At 39.6% G+C, this 19,654-nt stretch overlaps 1 protein-coding gene across 11 annotated transcripts in view, besides 1 other annotated feature; it reads left to right on the top strand.

Moving 5' to 3' along the window:
• Positions 1-19,654, top strand: part of PPARGC1A (PPARG coactivator 1 alpha) — a 680,885-nt gene that overhangs the window by 124,181 nt on the left and 537,050 nt on the right. The window lies entirely within an intron of this gene.
• Positions 17,588-18,156: an enhancer, noted in NCBI's record as "H3K27ac-H3K4me1 hESC enhancer chr4:24332192-24332760 (GRCh37/hg19 assembly coordinates)". NCBI's record gives its function as "activates a minimal SCP1, AML or CMV promoter by ChIP-STARR-seq in naive and primed H9 embryonic stem cells {active_cell/tissue: H9 hESC(naive and primed)}" and the evidence as "EXISTENCE:reporter gene assay evidence [ECO:0000049][PMID:30033119]".

Below are 19,654 nucleotides of genomic sequence, written 5' to 3'. Positions count from 1 at the left end.
AAAATGATATAAGAAGTGAAGGGAGAAATATTCATGGAAATAGACAGCTTAAAGAAAAAAACAATGAAAAATTCAGGAAACTTTGGACACACTTCTAGAAATGCAAAATGCTCTGGAAAGTCTCAGCAATAGAATTGAACAACCAGAAGAAAGAAATTCAGAGCTCCAAGACAAGGTATTTGAATTAACCTAATTCAACAAAGACAAAGAAAAAAGAACAAGAAAATATGAACAAAGCCTCCAAGAAGTCTGGGATTATGTTAAACGACCAAACCTAAGAATAATCAGTGTACCTGAGGAAGAAGAGAATTCTAAAAGCCTGGAAAATATGTCTGGGGGAATAATCAAGGAAAACTTCCCTGGGTTGTGAGAGACCTAGACATCCAAATATAAGAAGGACAAAGAACACCTGGGAAATTCATTGCAAAAAGATCTTTGCCTAGGCACATTGTGATCCGGTTATACAAAGTTACGAAGGAGGAAAGAATCTTAAGAGCTGTGAGACAGAAGCACCAGGTAACCTATGAGGAAAACCTGTCAGATTAATGGCAGATTTCTCAGCAGAAACCTTACAAGCTAGAAGGGATTGGGGACCTATCTTCAGCCTCCTCAAACAAAGCAATTATCAGCCAAGAATTTTGTATCCAGCGAAACTAAGCATCATATATGACAGAAAGATACAGTTGTTTTCAGACAAACACATGCTGAAAGAATTTGCCATTACCAATGGCAAACTACTAAAAGGAGCTGTAAGTCTTGTGGTGGCTCTAAATTTTGAAACAAATCCTGGAAACACATCAAAACACATCAAAACAGAACCTCTTTAAAGCATAAATCACATAGGACCTATAAAACAAAATACAAGTTAAAAAGCAAAAACAAACAAACAAAATAACAAAAAAACCGAAGCACAGAAGCAACAAAGAGCAGGATGAAAGCAACAGTACCTCACATTTCAATACTAACATTGAATATAAATAGCCTAAATGCTCCACTTAAAAGATACAGAACTGCAGGATGGGTAAGAACTCATCAACCAACTATCTGCTGTCTTCAGGAGAATCACCTAACACATAAGGACTCACATACACTTAAAGTAAAGGGGTGGAAAAAGGCATTTCATACAAATGGACAACAAAAGCGAGCAGGGGTAGCTATTCTTATATCAAACAAAATAAACTTTAAAGCAACAGCAGTTAAAAGAGACAAAGAGGGACAGTATATAATGGTAAAAGGCCTTGTCCAACAGGAAAATGTCACAATCCTAAAATATATGCACCTAACACTGGAGCTCCCAAATTTATAAAACAATTACTAATAGACTTAAGAAATGAGACACAATAATAGTGGTGGACTTCAATACTCCACTGACAGCACTAGACAGGTCATGAAGACAGAAAGTCAACAAAGAAACAATGGATTTAAACTATATCTTGGAACAAATGGCCTTCACAGATATATACAGACCATTTCATCCAGCAACCACAGAATACACATTCTATTCAACAGCACATGGAACTTTCTCCAAAATAGAACATAAGATAGGCCATAAAACAAGCCTCAGTAAATTTAAGAAAATTGAAATTATATCAAGCACTCTCTCAGACCACAGTGGAATAAAACTGGAAATCAACTCCAAAAGGAACCTTCAAAACCATGCAAATACATGGAAATTAAATAACCTACTCTGGACTGAGCATTGAAGAATATCAAGATGGAAATTAAAAAATTCTTTGAACTGAATGACAATAATGATAGAACCTGTCGAAACCTCTGGGATAGAGCAAAGTTGGTGCTAAGAGGAAAGTTCATAGCCCTAAATAGCTACATCAAAAAGTCTGAAAGAGCACAAGCAAACAATCTAAGGTCATACCTCAAGGAACTAGAGAAACAAGAACAAACCAAACCCAAACCCAGCAGAAGAAAGGAAATAACCAACATCAAAGAAGAACTAAATGAAATTGAAACAAACAAAAAATACAAAAGATAAATGAAACAAAAAGCTGGTTCTTTGAAAAGATAAAATTGATAGACCATTAGCAAGATTAACCAGGAAAAGAAGAGAGAAAATCCAAATAACCTCACTGAGAAATGAAACAGGAGATATTACAACTGACACCACTGAAATACAAAAGATGATTCAAGGCTACTATGAACACCTTTATGCACATAGAAAGTGTAGAAGAGATGGATAAATTCCTGGAAAAATACAACTTTCCTAGCTCAAAGCAGGAAGAATTAGATACCCTGAACAGACCAAAAACAAGCAGCGAGATTGAAACGGTAATTAAAAATTTACTAACAAAAAAAGTCCAGGACCAGAAGGATTCACAGTAGAATTCTACCAGATATTCAAGGAAGAATTGTTACCAATCCTTTTGACACTATTCCACAAGATAGAGAAAGAAAAAACCCTCCCTAACTCATTCTATGAAGCCAGCATTACCCTAATACCAAAACCAGGAAAGGACACAACCAAAAAAGAAAACTACAAACTGATATCCCTGATGAACATAGATGCTAAAATCCTTAACAAAATACTAGCTAACAGAATCTGACAACATATCAAAAAGATAATCCACCATGATCAAGTGGGTTTCATACCAGGGACGCAGGGATGGTTTAACATATGCAAGTCAATAGATGTGGTACACCACATAAACAGAATTAAAAACAAAAATCACATGATCATCTCAGTAGATGCAGAAAAAGCATTAGACAAAATCCAGCATCACTTTATGATTAAAACTCTCAGCAAAATCAGCATACAAGGCATATACCTTAATGTAATAAAAGCCATCTATGACAGATCCACAGCCACCGTAATACTGAATGGGGAAAAGTTGAAAGCATTCCCTCTAAGAACTGGAACAAGACAAGGATGCCCATTCTCACCACTCCTCTTCAACATAGTACTGGAAGTCCAACCAGAGCAATCAGGCAAGAGAAAGAAATAAAGGACATCCGAATCGGTAAAGAGGAAGTCAAACTGTCACTGTTTGCTGACGATATGATTGTTTACCTTGAAAACCCTAAGGACTCCTCTAGAAAGCTCCTAGAACTAATAAAAGAATTCAGCAAAGTTTCCGGATACAAGATTAATGTGCACAAATCAGTAGCTCTTCTATACACCAAAAGCGACCAAGCAGAGAATGAAATCAAGAACTCACTTCTTTTACAATAGCTGCAAAAAACAAAACAAAACTAAACTAAACTAAAAAACTTTTTAGGAATATACCTAACAAAAGAGTTGAAAGACATCTACAAGGAAAACTATGAAACACTGCTGAAAGAAATCGTGGATGACACAAACAAATAGGAACACATCCCATGGTCATGGACGGGTAGAATCAATATTGTGAAAATGACCATACTGCCAAAAGCAATCTACAAATTCAACACAATCCCCATCAGAATACTACCATCATTCTTCACAGAATTACAAAAAAAAAAAAATTCTAAAATTCGTATGGAACCAAAAGAGAACCCACATAGCCGAAGCAAGCCTAAGCAAAAAGAACAAATCTGGAGGTATCACACTACCTGATCTCAAACTATCCTATAAGGCTATAGTCACCGAAACAGTGTGGTACTGGTATAAAAATAGGCACATAGACAAACGGAACAGAATGGAGAACCCAGAAATAAATGGAAATACTTGCAGCCAACCAATCTTTGACAAAGCAAACAAAAACATAAAGTGAAGGAAAGGACCCCCTTTTCAACAAATGGTGCTGGGATAATTGGCTAGCCACATGTAGGAGAATGAAACTGGATCCTTACCTCTCATTTTATACAAAAATCAACTCAAGATGGATTAACAACTTAAACCTAAAACCTGAAATTATAAAAATTCTAGAAGACAACCTTGGAAAAACCCTTCTAGACATTGGCTTAGGCAAGGATTTAATGACCAAGAACCCAAAAGCAAATGCAACAAAAACAAAGATAAATAGCTAGGACCTAATTAAACTAAAGGGCTTTTGCATGGCAAAAGGAAGAGTCAGCAGAGTAAAGAGACAACTCACAGAGTAGGAGAAAATCTTCACAATCTATACATCTGACAAAGGACTAATATCCATAATCTACAACAAACTCAAACAAATCAGTAAGAAAAAAAAAACAAACAATCCCATCAAAAAGTGGTCTAAGGACATGAATAAATAATTTTCAAAAGAAGATATACAAATGGCCAACGAATATATGAAAAAATGCTCAACAACACTAATGATCAGGGAAATGCAAATCAAAACCACAGTGCAATACCACCTTACTCCTACAAGAAGGCCATAATCAAAAAATAAAAAAAAAAGTAGATGTTGGCATGGATGTAGTGAACAGGGAACACTTCTACACTTCCGGTGGGAATGTAAACTAGTACAGCCACTATGGAAAACACTGTGGAGATTCCTTAAAGAACTAAAAGTAGAACTACCATTTGATCCAGCAATCCCACTACTGGGTATCTACCCAGAGGAAAAGAAGTCATTATTCAAAAAAGATACTTGTGCACACATTTTTATAGCAGCACAATTCACAATTGCAAAATTGTAGAATGAACCCAAATGCCCACCAATCAATGAGTGGATTAAAAAAACTGTGATATATATATATATATATAATGGAATACTACACAGACATAAAAAGGAATGAATTAACAGCATTTGCAGCGACCTGGATGAGATTGGAGACTATTATTCTAAGTGAGGTAACTCAGAAATGGAAAACCAAACATTGTGTGTTCTCACTGATATGTGGGAGCTAAGCTATGAGGACGCAAAGGCATAAAAATGATACAATGGACTTTGTGGACTTGGGGGGAAGAGTGGGAGGGGGGTGAGGGATAAAAGACTACAAATAGGGTGCAATGTATACTGCTCGGGTGATGGGTGCACCACAATCTCACAAATCACCACTAAAGAACTTACTCATGTAACCAAATACCCCAATAACTTATGGAAATTAAAAAAAAAAAGCATTTCCCCAAAGTAAGACACACACCACATCTCCACTCTCAGCCCTAATCATTTGCATATGCCTACAAGATATTATCTTTAATCCAGAAAGTCAAATAAGTTTCAGGTTTGGATGACTGCCATAGTCCATTCCTGCTGCTATAACAAAATATCATAGACTGTACAATTTATAAACAATAGAAATTTCTTTCTGATAGTTCTGGAGCCTCAGAAATCTAGGATCAATGTGCTGGCAGGTTCGATGTTTAGTAAAGGATTGCTCTGTGCCTCAAAATGATGCCTTGTTGCTGCGTCCTGTGGATGGGACAAATGCTGTGTCTTCTTGTGGCCAAAGAGATGAAAGGGAAGAAGGAAACTCACTCCTACTCAAGCCGTTTATAAGGCACTAATCTCATCCATGGGTAGGTTCCTTATGGCCCAATCGCCTTCTAAAGGCACCACCTTTTAATACTGTTGCATTAGAGATGAAGTTTCCACATGAGTTTTAGAAGGGACACACACATTCCAACCATAAAATTACTTTTCCTGAATTGATTGCCATGTCATTGACACTAACGTGGGAAGTATGGGCACAGAACAATCCATTTATGATTAAGGGTTTGGTTTGAACCAGGGCACTTGAGAAGCAGAGTGTTTCAGTGGTGGTTTTTGCTATTTTGAAACGTTCTATTCTGGTTCCTTGGCCCCCTCCCTCCTGATGAATCCCACAAGCTGACTGACCTTCAGAGCTTAGTTTGAAACTCATTAAGAACATCATAACATGAGGATGGCACAGTGGGTCAGATTTCTAGTCTCTCTAGCCCAGTTTTCTGTCACCAATATTGGAGGAAGTGTTGTCTTGTGGGGAAACATGGCAGGGACTGACCATAAAATTATCTTCAGGAAGTCAGGAGCTTACCTGATCAGCTAGCAGAGCAAGGTATCCCAGGACTCAAACTGGCTTGGGTGCCCATGATAGAACCCAACAGGGAAGTCAATCCAGGCTCAAGGTCAGAGTCTGTCCAATTTTTCAGTTGTCCTGAAACTTAGTTTAATTAAAAGAAAGTAGTTTTGTTTTTAATCACTTTGCCCATTTGCTCTGAAGAACAAGTCCTTCAATTTTACCATAGCTTAATGAAGGAAATACATTTTGCATCATGAATTTTAGTCTTGGTACTGTAATAATATGAACGACTTCCTTATATGTCATGTGATATCCATGATACATATTTCTCTCTGAAAGAAAAATCAATGGGGTTCTTATTTTTATATTTTAGTTGTGGGAGGCTGGTTAGTGTAATAGATAAGGGAACACATTCTAAGGATAATAGATTTGGTAATTGTCAGCAACGTGATCTTGGGCAAATTCCCTAACCTCTATTAGCCTCAGTTTTCTCATTTGTAATTGGAGACAAAAATAATGAAGATTACACACCAACACACACACACTCACCCACACATATACGTATGCTTCTTGCAGATTTTTTTTTGAAACTTGAATTAGCCAATGTATGCAAAGTGCTTTGGACACTACCTGGCACATAGTAAGGTCTCAATAAGCAGAAGTTCAGTCAATAAGTATTTATCAAGTGCCTGTTTATTCACGGCACATAAAAGAAACAGGAGCCACAAAAATGAGTAAGAAATAGCCCCTGCCTTTGAAACATCTTACAATAAAGATAAACGTGTGGGAAGTCTTTGAGTTTCAGTACTAAAAGAGGAAACAAGTTGGGCATGGATGTTTTGGGTCCTGTGGTGAGATGATGGAGTTATCTTCAAAATGGTGGCAAGACCCTCCATGATCTGGCTCCTGGCTGCATGAGCAGACCCGTCGTAGGCTGCTCCCCTGCTTGTTCACTGAACTCCAGCTACATTGACCACAGTCATGTACTCAACAACCACTTAATAGATATTTAGTGAGCACCTTCTGTGAGCGAGACACTTTCTCTGTGCTGTGGTGAGCAAAACAGATTGGGACCCTGCTTTCATGGAATGTGTGTGTTGCATGTCTCAAACATGTTAAGCTCTTTCTCATCTCAAGGCCTTTAATCTGTGTCTCCTCTGCCTAGAGTGTTCTTTCTTGTATGTCTTCTTCACAGTAACTTCCATTTATCCTTCATTTCTTAAATTTTGCTTCCTCAGACAAGCCTTGCTGACCTCTTATCCCAAACCGAATCCAAATTGAATTCCGTCATTATCTTTTCTTAAAGTATCCTTAACTTTTACTCAAAACATTTGCACAGTTTGTTCATATTGTTGTTTGTTTACTGCCTCACCCGCTAGACTGCAGGCTCCATGAGTCACAGACTGTGTTGATTTTGTTTATTGTTGTACCCATCACATCTAGGACTTAGCTGACTCCCAATAGGTTCTTAAAATATATGTGCCAATTTAATAAAAGGATCAACTTAGTATTGAAATATATTTTCATTTTACAAGCACTGAAGGAAAATATGTGCAGATTTTTAGTGGTGATAATGCATTCAGATCAGTTGGTTTATTTTGGTTCTGCTAGCTCATTTTATATACGTGTGTGTATATATATATATATAATTATATATATAAGTTTTTAATTGCTAAAGTATGATCCTGGGGAGCTATTCTTTATATTTGAAAAGCTTCCAAATAGTTTTCTTTTCCTTCCCGTAGGATTAGCTTTTAGAGTTATATTTTCTTGAGATTTTTGTCATGTTCTTTAATCTTTGTAATAGCACGGATTGCACAGAATGAAAGTTCTTGGGTGTTTCAGAAGCTCATTCCTATGATGGAAAATGAAAATCTGCTTCCTTGATTGCCTGTGCCATCAATATAACCCAAAATCTCTGGAGATGACTTTCAGAAGAAAATGAAGAAATGGATAATTTACTAAACCACTGTTCCCCATTGGCTTGTCAGTGGGAGTGGCGGGTGGATGAGAAAGGGAGTTCGGTGGTCAGCGGGTTTAAATGTATACAGCAGATCATAGCTTGGAGCACGGTTCAAACAGAACTGTCTTCTTTTTGGCTAAGTTGACCAAGCCAGCCCACTGCGTTCCCATCTTTTTGAAAAGTGTTAGTTTCCAGTTTCAATACAGCTATGAAAAAAAATCTGCCATCATGGCAAATGATACTGTTAGATGTGGACGGAAACCCCATAAAATTGTATGGGTGATATTAATTTAGTCACCTACGGCTTAATAGTCATTTTATGGACATTAAAAAAAAAGTTTTGTAGCCATAATGTTTTATCTATCTTTATGGTCTCTTATGCTGTGTTTAATCAGTGTAATTATGGGAGAAGATAATTAAATAGAGTACTATACAGTTCTTAAGATTTTAATGCTGTTATTACTAATTTAACCACAAAAAGGATGTATAAAATCTAAGGCACTGCAAATCTTACAGAGAAATAGCCAGTCAGAATTTTCAATAAGCCGTTTAAGTAGCAAAGTTGTGCGTTCTTTTTTGTCAGTTTATTTATGCCATTTAATATATTTCTTGTTTATAACTGGGAAAGAAAATCGAGTGGAGATGAATATTTGTATTATTTTCTGAATAAAGTGCTATATCTCTATAGTTCAAAATGTTTACATTAGAAATAGTCCAGTGCCCCCAAAGGCTATTCATGACTACATTTTAAAACTGAGATTATACATGCAATATTTTTATTTTATGTGTGTTCTCAATACACATTAGTCACGTTATTTTTTTTCCTGGCTTTAAATAAAAAGAAATTTCTATTTTTTAAAAACCTAGGCCGGGCACGGTGGCTCACGCCTGTAATCTCAGCACTTTGGGAGACTGAGGCAGGCGGATCACGAGGTCAGGAGATGGAAACCATCCTGGCTAACACGGTGAAACCCTGCCTCTACTAAAAATACAAAAATTAGCCGGGGGTGGTGGTGGGCGCCTGTAGTCCCAGCTACTCGGGAGGCTGAGGCAGGAGAATGGAGTGAACCCGGCAGGTGGACGTTGCAGTGAGCCGAGATCGCACCACTGCACTCCAGCCTGGACGACAGAGCTAGACTCCGTCTGAAAAAAACAAAGCAAAATAAAACAAACCTAAAACAGGGCTTGCCAAATAATTGAAAACTGTATTTTAAACTGTCTTGTTTCAGAGAAGGTGACTTTGAGCGCCATTGGCTGTGATGAAAGCACACATTTTACAGCTGGTCCGACTGTAATTGGAGGGTGCTCCATAGTATGCATGGATCCACATGGTGGAACGGGCATTAATTGAGCGCAGGGAACAACTAGGATTTTGATTAGAGAAAGCACGATGGAGGATGTGCTGGGTTAAGGGACCAGTGTGAACAAAGGTAAAAAGGCTTAAAATCTCTGGGAAAAAGGTGATGAATTCCTGACTCATCTTCTCTGCCCTAGGCATGTAGGTCTCTGAAATGGGAAATAAGATAAAGAAAAAAAAAATCAGGCCAGAATGTGGAAGGCTTAAAACATCATGCAAAGAGTACTGAACTGAATACAATGGAATATTATTCAGCCTTAAACAGGAATGGAATTCTGATGTGTGTGTGTGTGTGTGTGTGTGTGTGTATATATATATATATATATATATATACACACACACACACACACACATGGATGAACCTTGAAGACAGTGTGCTAAGGGAAATAGGCCAGACACACAAGGAACAAATATGTGATTCCACTTACATGAGGGACCTAGTCAAATTCATGCGGACAGAAAATAGAATGGAGGTTACCAGGACATGACGGGAGGGAGGGATAGCAATTTATTTTTTAGTGGGTACAGGATAGCAGTGATGGTTGAAAGCAATATGAATGGACTTAATGCCACTGAACTATACATTTAAAAGTGGTTAAAATGGCTAATTTCATGTCATGGATATTTTACCACAATAATAAAGATTTTTAAAAGTGTACTGAACTGATTGTAAACAATGAGACATTGGAGGTTCTTATGGAAGGGAGGCTAACATCCCAGTGGGGCCTTTGGAATTAAGCCATTTTTTTTTCAAGCTTTGTGCTTTTGTTGGAAAGCTGTGTTTGAGACCATCTTTGTTGCTATTACATAGCAAGATGAGTCTTCAGTCCCTATAACTTCATGATGAAACCAACAGGATTGATGGGTGAACGTTTTTAATGGAGAATGCATAGTTGAGGTTGGAATTTGGGCAGTGAAAAGGACTTGAAACGGGGGTTGGTATCCCATATTTGAAAGACTTCTTGGCAACCCCAAATGAATTTTGATTTGTTTGTGTGCTTCTAGGAAACTTGAGTTGGATGAAGCACGGAGGCTTAATGTTGAAAGTTATCAGCCTGGATGGAATTAATGAAAAATGTGAGAATAGATCCTTAGGTTTTAGAGTAGTTTTGTGCACTGAATTGATGTTGTGTTCTTTTTCATTCCCCAGCAAATATATTCTCATTGTGTGCTCTGAGGAAATGATTAAAAAACATCATTAAAATACTTCTTTTCCTTTCTTCTTCATTGGAAGAGGCCACAAGTGTCTGCCTTTTCAGTTTGAACCAAACCTTTGCTTTTGTATTCTAATAGCAACTCTAAATGCGCTCGGTGTGGTTCAGTGGCTCGCAGGATTTTATACCGTGAGAATTACACAGGGGCTCACAAATCATCATTTCTGATCGCATTGCTTTAGAGACAAAGAAGGCAGGGCCCCGAGAATCATCATGGATCTTTTATAATTCCATCAGTTTCCTGGCAGTTAAAACAAATTTTATAGCCAAATGGCAAGGCTAGGCAGGGTGAAGTGCTGAGGGTCACCGTGCTCAAGAGAAGAGGGGAGTTCAGACCGGATGACAAGGAGCAGAAGGTAGGAAAGCCACCCCTGCAGGACAAAGCAAGGGAGGCTGCTGGGAAGATGCGGGCTTGAGAAGGGGTTGCACCTCTCTTTGTCATTAATGGATGGAATGGGGTCGTCGGAGCTCAAGTCTTGGGGGAACCTTATTTGGGCTGATGGAGCCTTTTTGGTAGACCCTTGATGAGTCCAATGTGAAGTTTTGAATTTATAGTTACATTTGGTTTCGCCCTTTCTTAGCTGTGTGATCTGGGACAAGTTATTTAATTTGCTCAACCTCATTTTTTTTTTTTTTTTCATTTGTAAAAGAGCAATAAGATCTCCTTAGTGGAGGTGTTCTGAGGGTAAATGAGGCAATGCTTGTAAGTACAGAGGAAAGAGTAACTGTTATGTTATGATGTCACCTAGGGACTGGTCAGACATCATCTCCCCACGCTCAGTAGGGGCTCCTCTCGGAGGACCTGGAGCGCTCCACGCCTGCCTCCATGAGCTCTGGTCGCCCCACCAGACTTATTTTCATGTCTTATTTTCATGTCTGTCTGTCCCACCACACCATTGTTCATGTAAGTTAGGGATAATGTTCTATTCATCTTTATATCCTCAGCACTGGCACAGGGCCTGGCAAATAACTACTCCGTAGCTGTTCACGAGTGGTTGAATGAATGAATAAGAGAATGGCTTTATTTGGCTTGTCTTGCAAAAAGGTGAGACAAAACCTAGAGGTCATAAGCTGGTGACCCTCCACAGGTGGAATTGGGTGGGGCGGTGAGAGTCAGAGGAAAGATGGGCTCCCAATTTTTTGCCTGTTTCACAAAGGACAAATCAGAGGGTGGTTATTTGCTTTATAACATTTCTTTACCCAATTTATAAGAACGATTCTTAGTGTGGTAAGGGATTTGGAGAGAGCACGAACTTTTTGGAATGCAATTTACAGAGCCTTAAAAGCATTCATAACCTTTGATTCCACAATTTTACTTTTGGAATTATTTCCCAAGGAAACCATTGAAAATTGCAGAAATAACTTTTTGCACAAAGTCATCCATGGTAACATTATTTATTTATTATTATTTTAAATTAAATTTTATTTTTTAGAGATGGGTGGATCTTGCTATGTTGCCCAGGATGGCCTCCAACTCTTGGCCTCAAGCAGTCCTCCTTCCTTAGCCTCCCAAGTAGCTGGGATTACAGGTGCAAGCCACTGTGTTTGCCTCATGGCAGCGTTATTTATAACGCAAAAAATGGAAAAAAAACAAAAAGCCAGCTATCTACCAAAAGAAGTATGACTCAGTGTATTTTGGTATGTTCACACATTGGAATAAGATGCAGCCATAATGATGTTGATGAGAATTAGAATAATGTGAACAGTGCATGCATGTATGTAAAATTAGTGATACATGAATGTGTGATATATCATTAGTGATATATATGAACAAACGTGATGTTTGTTAAAATACAGGGATAAAAGGCATACACATTTAATAGTGATTGCTTTCATATTACAGTAAGAATGGGTGATTACTCTCTTTATATTTTTCTGTATTTTCAGTAAGTATTTATTACTTTTATAGTAAGAAAAAGCCGTGAAAAAAATCCAGTTCTGTAATCCATTTAAAATTAGATGCTGGGTGCAATTTTTAGGGTACATTTTAGGAGAAAATATCCCAGCTCGAGATGTACCTTCACCATCCCTGTCTCTTCTCAGCAGCAGAAGAGACCTATAGATCAGTGTGTCCTAAGTGACAGTGTGACACAAAGCACTTGCCAACAGGGAGGTGAAAACTCTACTGCTCTGCTATTTCCTCTTGGAACCAGACACAAAATACTAGAGAGGAGGTGCTCAGGAGATGAAGGGGAACGGTTCTTGAAGAGAGGGACAGAAAGATAGAGAAAGGATGTGGAAAACAGAAAAAATTAAAAGAGGCATGAGGCATAAAAACGGGGGAAAAAAAGTGAAGAAATAGAAGAGAAAGACAACTGGTGTTTAGGGGAAAATGCAAAGAAAGCCCTCAATTAACCCTTTTTATTGCTCTAGGCCTTTATTTATGTATTTATTCTGAATAATAAATCAGTAGGTGCTTTACTTTTATTTATTTATTTTTATTTAGCTATTGTAGCACTAGGCAATAAATAAATGGGCATATCCGCCTGACTTCTGTCTCCAGGAAGCATTTGCAATTCAAATTGGAAGCAAGACCAGTTTTTCCTCCCATGTATCTCAGCCACCTTGGGCAGCTGGGAGCCTTGGCCCTGGGTGATGGACTGTCATGGGCCTGTTGTCTAGACCCAAACACTTTGTTTTCCTAAATAAAGGATCCTCTGTAACGTACCCTCGCGCTTATAGTTGAGGGCTGAGGAATAGGATTCAGAAAGAAGTTACGTATTTTATACTGAAACTTTTCGGGGGTGGCTTTGAGGTATCACTTTTTTCTACTATGAACCAATCCATAAAATGGGAATACCTTGCTGACAGTGGTTGTTGGCTGGCATTCACAAAGACTTCTGATATTTGTGGAAGGAACCCTATAGAGGAGGGAAGACAAAAAGGAAAGAGGCAAGGAAGGAAATAGCCTAGTGTAGTGGAAAGAAAATTGCTTTTGACATCAAGCACCTATGGGCTGGCATCATAAATTCAGCCCTCACCTACTTCCCTAAGGACCTGATAAACATCGCCTAACTTCCATGAATCTCAGTTTCCTCATCTATAAATGAACAGCCATACCTAAATCAGGGGACATTATAAAGACTCAATGACATGCTATGTGTAAAATCCTAACACATACTATGTGCTCATTTGGGTGAATCTCTGTTCCATGTATTGACTGCTTACCTTATGCCAAGAATTATGCTAAGTGATTTCCAGGGCCCCTGCCTAGCAATTTAGACAGACAACTCCCATTATTTCCTCCGAATGCGATAGTTGTTTTGAGTATACCCTGATAAGTAATTGCTTCCCTTAATGATACTCCAGTGGAATACAATATGGAAACCTCTGAAGGTTCTTATTCTTGAAACTAATATTTAAGTACAAGTGCTTACAATTAGTCTTGCCTCGATGTGTTCATAGCATACCAAAAAGCCTTGGGTTTCTAAATATAGAAATCAAAATACACTGAATCCTCTGAAAGCCAAATCAGAGAACCTTATACCAAAGGAGGCTATGCTCGCACTAATCTCCAACATAACTATGTATCACATCATAGGGAACACTGTCTATCCAGTCGAGCATTGTCTTAGAAATGGAAATGTTCAATGTGTTTGAAACAGCTCCCCACCTTCACATGCCCCCCAACATCCTCCACTTATAGCACATAAGGGAAGTTCTTGGAAAAACAAACTCAGTAATTAACAAACAAAACAAAACCTCGGAAAACAGAATCTGTGGATACTGATGTTTGGACAATGGGATGGAGTACTTTGCCAAGACTGTGGTTAAAAATTTCCCATGCAAATAAAAAAGTGACAAAAACACAACCATGTGCTAAGTGAGATTCCTAGAATTCTGCCTTGTCTTTGACTTTGCGGAGCACTTCTTAGACACCACTGTCCTTTTAATCCTCACGAAGTACCTGACAATATTTTTTCAGTAGATGAAGAAAATGAGCCACAGAAAAGTTAATTCACTTTCTGAAGATTATAGTGATTTGGTTAATCATCAAGCTGGAATGCGAGTAGAGCTTATTCTTTGGGCTTCAGTTTTCTCATCTATAAAATGGGAAAGGATTGTTGGGGAGAATCAAAGGAGTTAGTGTATGAAAAGGCGAGGTACTTGGTTCTCACGGTGTGACTGGCAGACCAGTAGCATTGGCATTACATGGGAATGTAGTGCCAATTTTCCTGTTAGAAATACAAAATTCCTGTTAGAAATACAGGATCCCAGACACTACCCCAGAACTCCTAAAACTTTGGGGTGGGGTGTGAGGATGCAACAGTCTGTGTTTTAACAAGGCTTCCAAGTGATTCTGATGCCACCCTGAATTTGAGAGCCAATGGACTAGTTTCTATGTTCTGACTTTTCTCTTAGTGCCTTTTTTTTTTTTTTTTTTTTTTTTTGTTGTTGTTGTTGGAGTCTTCCTCTGTTGCACAGGCTGGAGTGCAGTGGCACTAACTCAGCTCACTGCAACCAGCACCTCCCAGGTTTAAGAGATTCTCCTGCCTCAACCTCCTGAGTAGATGGGGTTACAGGCACCCGCCACTACACCTGGCTAATTTCTGTACTTTTAGTAGAATCAGGGTTTTACCATGTTGACCAGGCTGGTCTTGAACTCATGACCTCAGGTGATCCTCCCTCCTTGGCCTCCCAAAGTGCTGGGATTACAGGTGTGAGCCACCGCACACCGCCACTAGTGACAATTTTATAGGCCCAGTTGTTTGGGCTCTATACTATAAACCACAGACTAGAGGCTCAAGAGTTTGATTTTTTCTTTGCTGTTTCTAACTTGCTCTCTGCCTCTGGTAAGATGGAGAAGCTCTCTATACCATGAGATCCTTTGCTGAAAAGCAGAGAGAACAGAATAAAAACGAGTGAAGAATTATAAAATGATTAGGAAAAACTTTGCAGATTGAGTATTTGGAACAAACAGGTAATAGTCATTTGTGAATGAATCATGAAACTCAGAAATAGTAAAAAATATATTACATTGATTAAAAAATTTTTAAAAGTATTTTTAAGTATTTGAAATGTCAGAAAGAGAGGAAGATGGAAACTGTCGATTAGCTCATATTCCTATTACACTTTTTTTTTTCTTTTGAGATGGAGTCTTGCTCTGTTGCCCAGGCTGGAGTGCAGCAGCACAATCTCAGCTCAGTGTAACCACCACCTCCTGGGTTCAAGTGATTCTCATGCCTCTCAGCCTCCTGAGTAGCTGGGATTACAGGCGCGTGTCACCACGCCCAGCTAATTTTTGTAGTTTTTGTAGAGACAGGGTTTTGCCATGTTGGCCAGTCTGGTCTCGAACTCCTGACCTCAAATGATCTGCCCGCCTTGGCCTCCCGAAGTGCTGGGATTACAGGTGTGAGCCACAACGCCTGGCCTCTTATTACACTTTTAAAGTATTTACTCATCTGTTCTTCCATCTTAGACTCACTATGAATATTTCAGGTTGGTAAATAAAGAAATTGTCTTCAGTATACAGTTGAGGAAACTGAGACTCAGCGAGGCTGAGCAAATTTCTGAAATATACACTTCAGAAAATTAATGTTAATAGACTATCGCATCTGTTAACTCCCTCAGCCTGTGGCCTTTCCTTTCTAGATTTCTCTACTTGCCTATTATGTATTTCGGGGAGCACAGATGTTCATTTACATTTCAACTTTGTTGTTGAAAACTTGTAAGTTTTACAACTTTTTAGCTACTATTTTGTTGGTAAGTTTCACATACACAAAATGAAAAATGTACTCTGAGTTCTTGCACATATTGAAATGATAAGTGATAAGAAATGAGACACAAGGTAAAGATGTTTCATTAATTCATTGGTTTGTTCCTTTGTTCATTCAACAAGTGTTTATTGAGGATTTACTCTGTTCTAGATACCAGGATGAATTTCTGTGTTTACCATAGTGAGCAAAATGGACCTCCATTGGATTTAATATTCTCATTTCATCATCCCTGCAATGTGGCCTTTATTAATGCATGTCGTACTAAGCCTGCTTGGCCACCCTCTCTTCTTGGGGTCATCCTAGAGGCTCCTCGACCAGCTTTAAATGCACTCTTCTAGGCCAGGCATGGTGGTTCATGCCTGTAATCCCAGCACTTTGAGAGGCCGAGGTGAATGGATTGCTTGAGCCCAGGAGTTTGAGATCAGCCTGGGCAACACAATGAGCCCCTGTCTCTATAAAAGAAAAATGAAAACAAAACAAAACAATAACAAAAACAAAAAAAAACCCACTGTTCTTCTGAGAACTCAGTTGTGAAAAATGGTTTGGACAACCAAAGCAGCATGTAGACTACTGCCCGACGTCAACAACTGGCTAAATAAACACAGAATTTACCTCAGTGACAACACATGGACACAGGGAGGGGAACGTCACACACCGGGGCCTGTCAAGGGGTTGGGGGCAAGGGGAGGGAGAGCATTAGGACAAATACCTAATGCATGTGGGGCTTAAAACCTATATGATGGGTTGACAGGTGCAGCAAACCACCATGGCCCATGTATACTTATGTAACAAACCTGCACGTTCTGCACATGTATCCCAGAACTTAAAATATATATATATATATATAAAATAAACACAGAGTTCACCTTAGAGGCAAGTATAGTCTTTCTGCATGAGAAGTGGAAGGTTGCACATTATGCTGAAGATGCAACTGACATGATAGGGGAAAATGTTTTGTGTACATGAGCACAACTGCTCCATGGTGGCAGATCTTATGAAGTGAAGATTCAATCAACAAATATGCATTCATTTATTTAACAATATTTTTTGAGATGTTACTATAGGCCAGAAACTGTCCTGGGGATTGAGACTATAGCAATAAACAAGATGGGCATGTTCTGTCCTTCTGGAACTTGTTTGCTACCTAAGGGAATTAAGAAACTGACAACTAATTAATACAATGCAGGATAAGGAGATGGTGAGTGGCTGACTAGGGGTGGGGAGGCGTGGCTCCTTTAGACAGGGTGGTCAGGATAGGCCTGTTGGTGGAGGGGAGATATTTTCTGAGATCTGAGTGCTGTGAAGGAGCAGCTCAGGTTGAAAGCTAAGAAAGCGTATTCCAGGGAAAGGGAACTGCAAACATAAAGGCTCTGAAAAGGGAATGAGCTTGGCCAGTATGGCTGGAGGGTGCATTTATTGAGTGCACAGCATTGTGCTGGGCAAAGTGGGGATGGGCAAGGTTTTCTGGAGAGGTGGGCAAAATCAAAATAGGAGATTTAGTCTTGACCTTTAAGGAGATAACGTATAGTTGTGAAGCAAAAAACAGCATGAAGAATATTACTAGAACAATGAATGGTAAGGCTAGATGCCTATCTTTAAATGTACCCAGGAATTTGGAGGAAGGGCATATCAGTAGAGGATTCAGAGAGGGGATCATGATAGAGGTAGGGGATTAGGCACATGGGCAGAAGGAAAGAGAAGGGGACCCTTTTAGAGGCACAACAGCAGTAGAGACTATGTCTTGGAGGAGTCAAATGGAAAAAGTTGCCTGCCAAAGAGTGGTGTGGCTGCATGGATGATGAAAGCCTGGGTTCTGAAGCCAGCCTTCCTGGATTGGGCTCCCAGCTCCACCCCTTCCCAGCTGTGTGGTTTTGAGTGTGCTGGGTCTCAGTTTCTCATTTATAAAGCCAGGGTCATAATAGTGCCTATGTGTTTTGGCTATTTATTGCTGCCTAATAATCCTCCCCACAATCTAGTGGCTTAAAATACTAATTTGTTATTCTCTCTTACAATTTTGGGGGTTAACTGGGGTCAGCTGAGTGGTCTGTCATGGAGCTTCTCCTGTGGCTGGGGCTGGAGTCAGCTGAAGGCTCCACTGGGCTGGATGTGCAAGATAGTGCCTTCATGTACGTGCCTGGCACCCGGGCTGGCATGGTTGCAACAGCTGGGGGCTGGAAGGGCATTCTTTCCCCAGGACCTCTCCCTGCAACCAGCTCGAGTTTCCTCCCTGCAGTCTCAGGGGAGTCAGACTTCTTACATTCTTTGTGCCAATTAGGTGTTAGTCATTAGTTGTAAGCAGTCTTCCCCCAGAGTGACCATTCCGACACAGAAACTGGAAAAGGCATGACATGATTTCCTGTGCACTCTATTGGTCAAAGCAGTCACATGATAGCTCAGATTCAAGGGGAGGGGACAAAGACCCCACCTCTCAATGAGAGAAATGTCAAAGAATTTATGCATCTGTGCCCATCTTTAATACACTGCACTATTTTATGGATTGCAGTGAGGATCAAAATAGATCAGTAGAGAATACTGAGTAATGCACATGGAACATATTACATGTTCAATAATGTTCATGATGATGATAATGATAAGGGAGGGTCCTGAAAGCCAGGCAGTAGATTTGATGGTACAGCCCTGATGGGAAGGCAGGACCATCTGAAATCCTTGTGCCAGAATGATTGGAGAGGAGAGGTAGGAGAGAATACTCACTCCCTAGTTTGTGCACATTTAAGATGAAGATTTTGTTTTACTGGGTTTGCTTTGTTAGATTCTCTCATAGGCAGTCAATATCTTTTGTGCACCTACTTCATTCATTTGTGCATTTGACCTACGAAATATTCAGCATTGCACTAAGTGCTAGGTGTATATGATAGACAAAGTCCCTGCCAGTGGGGGAGCACAATTTTAAAGCAATAGTAATTATTCACGCTTGTGCTAAGACCTGTAATGAAGTTCTTAATGATCTTATGATCCCAGAAGATCATAATGGAGGAGCTTGCCTGATCTTTGCCGATGACATTCAACCTGGAACAAGGATAAGGAGGATTGCCAGGTAAAGAGAGAGGAAGAGCCCCAGGGGGAGGGCGCAGCACAAGCAAAGGCTGAAGGTGGAGAGGAAATTGGGGCAGTCAGAAACCAGAGTGGTGGCCATTGTGGTTGAGTGCAGGAGGTTTGGGGGCCAGTGGCAGGAGCCGGAGCTGGAGAGGCAGGTAGGACCCCATCACGCAGGGCCTCAAAGGCTTGTGAAGGATTGCAGATTTTATCCTAAGGGCAATGGGGTTCACTGGAATGGTGGTATTTGAAGAGTTCCCAAAATTGCTAAGTCTTTTTGCTTGAAGAGGAAAAAAAAAAAAGCTTAAAGAGATGGGAGATGGTGTTGAGGGATGAACTTGGCTGGTTTCACTTGAACAAATAAATCACCGGTTGCCATTTATCCCCAATCAGCAATAATCCCAGCATTCTCACCCTGGGTCAGTCTGGACAAAAGCTGCCCACTCTGCTCCGTTCCACATTTGTCAGCCCGTAATAGCATCCTTATCTC

The sequence above is a fragment of the Homo sapiens genome, chromosome 4 (genome assembly GCF_000001405.40).
Source record: "Homo sapiens chromosome 4, GRCh38.p14 Primary Assembly".
Lineage (NCBI taxonomy): Eukaryota > Metazoa > Chordata > Mammalia > Primates > Hominidae > Homo > Homo sapiens.
Note: the sequence above shows the minus strand (reverse complement) of the source record. Positions and strands in the feature narration are given on the sequence as shown.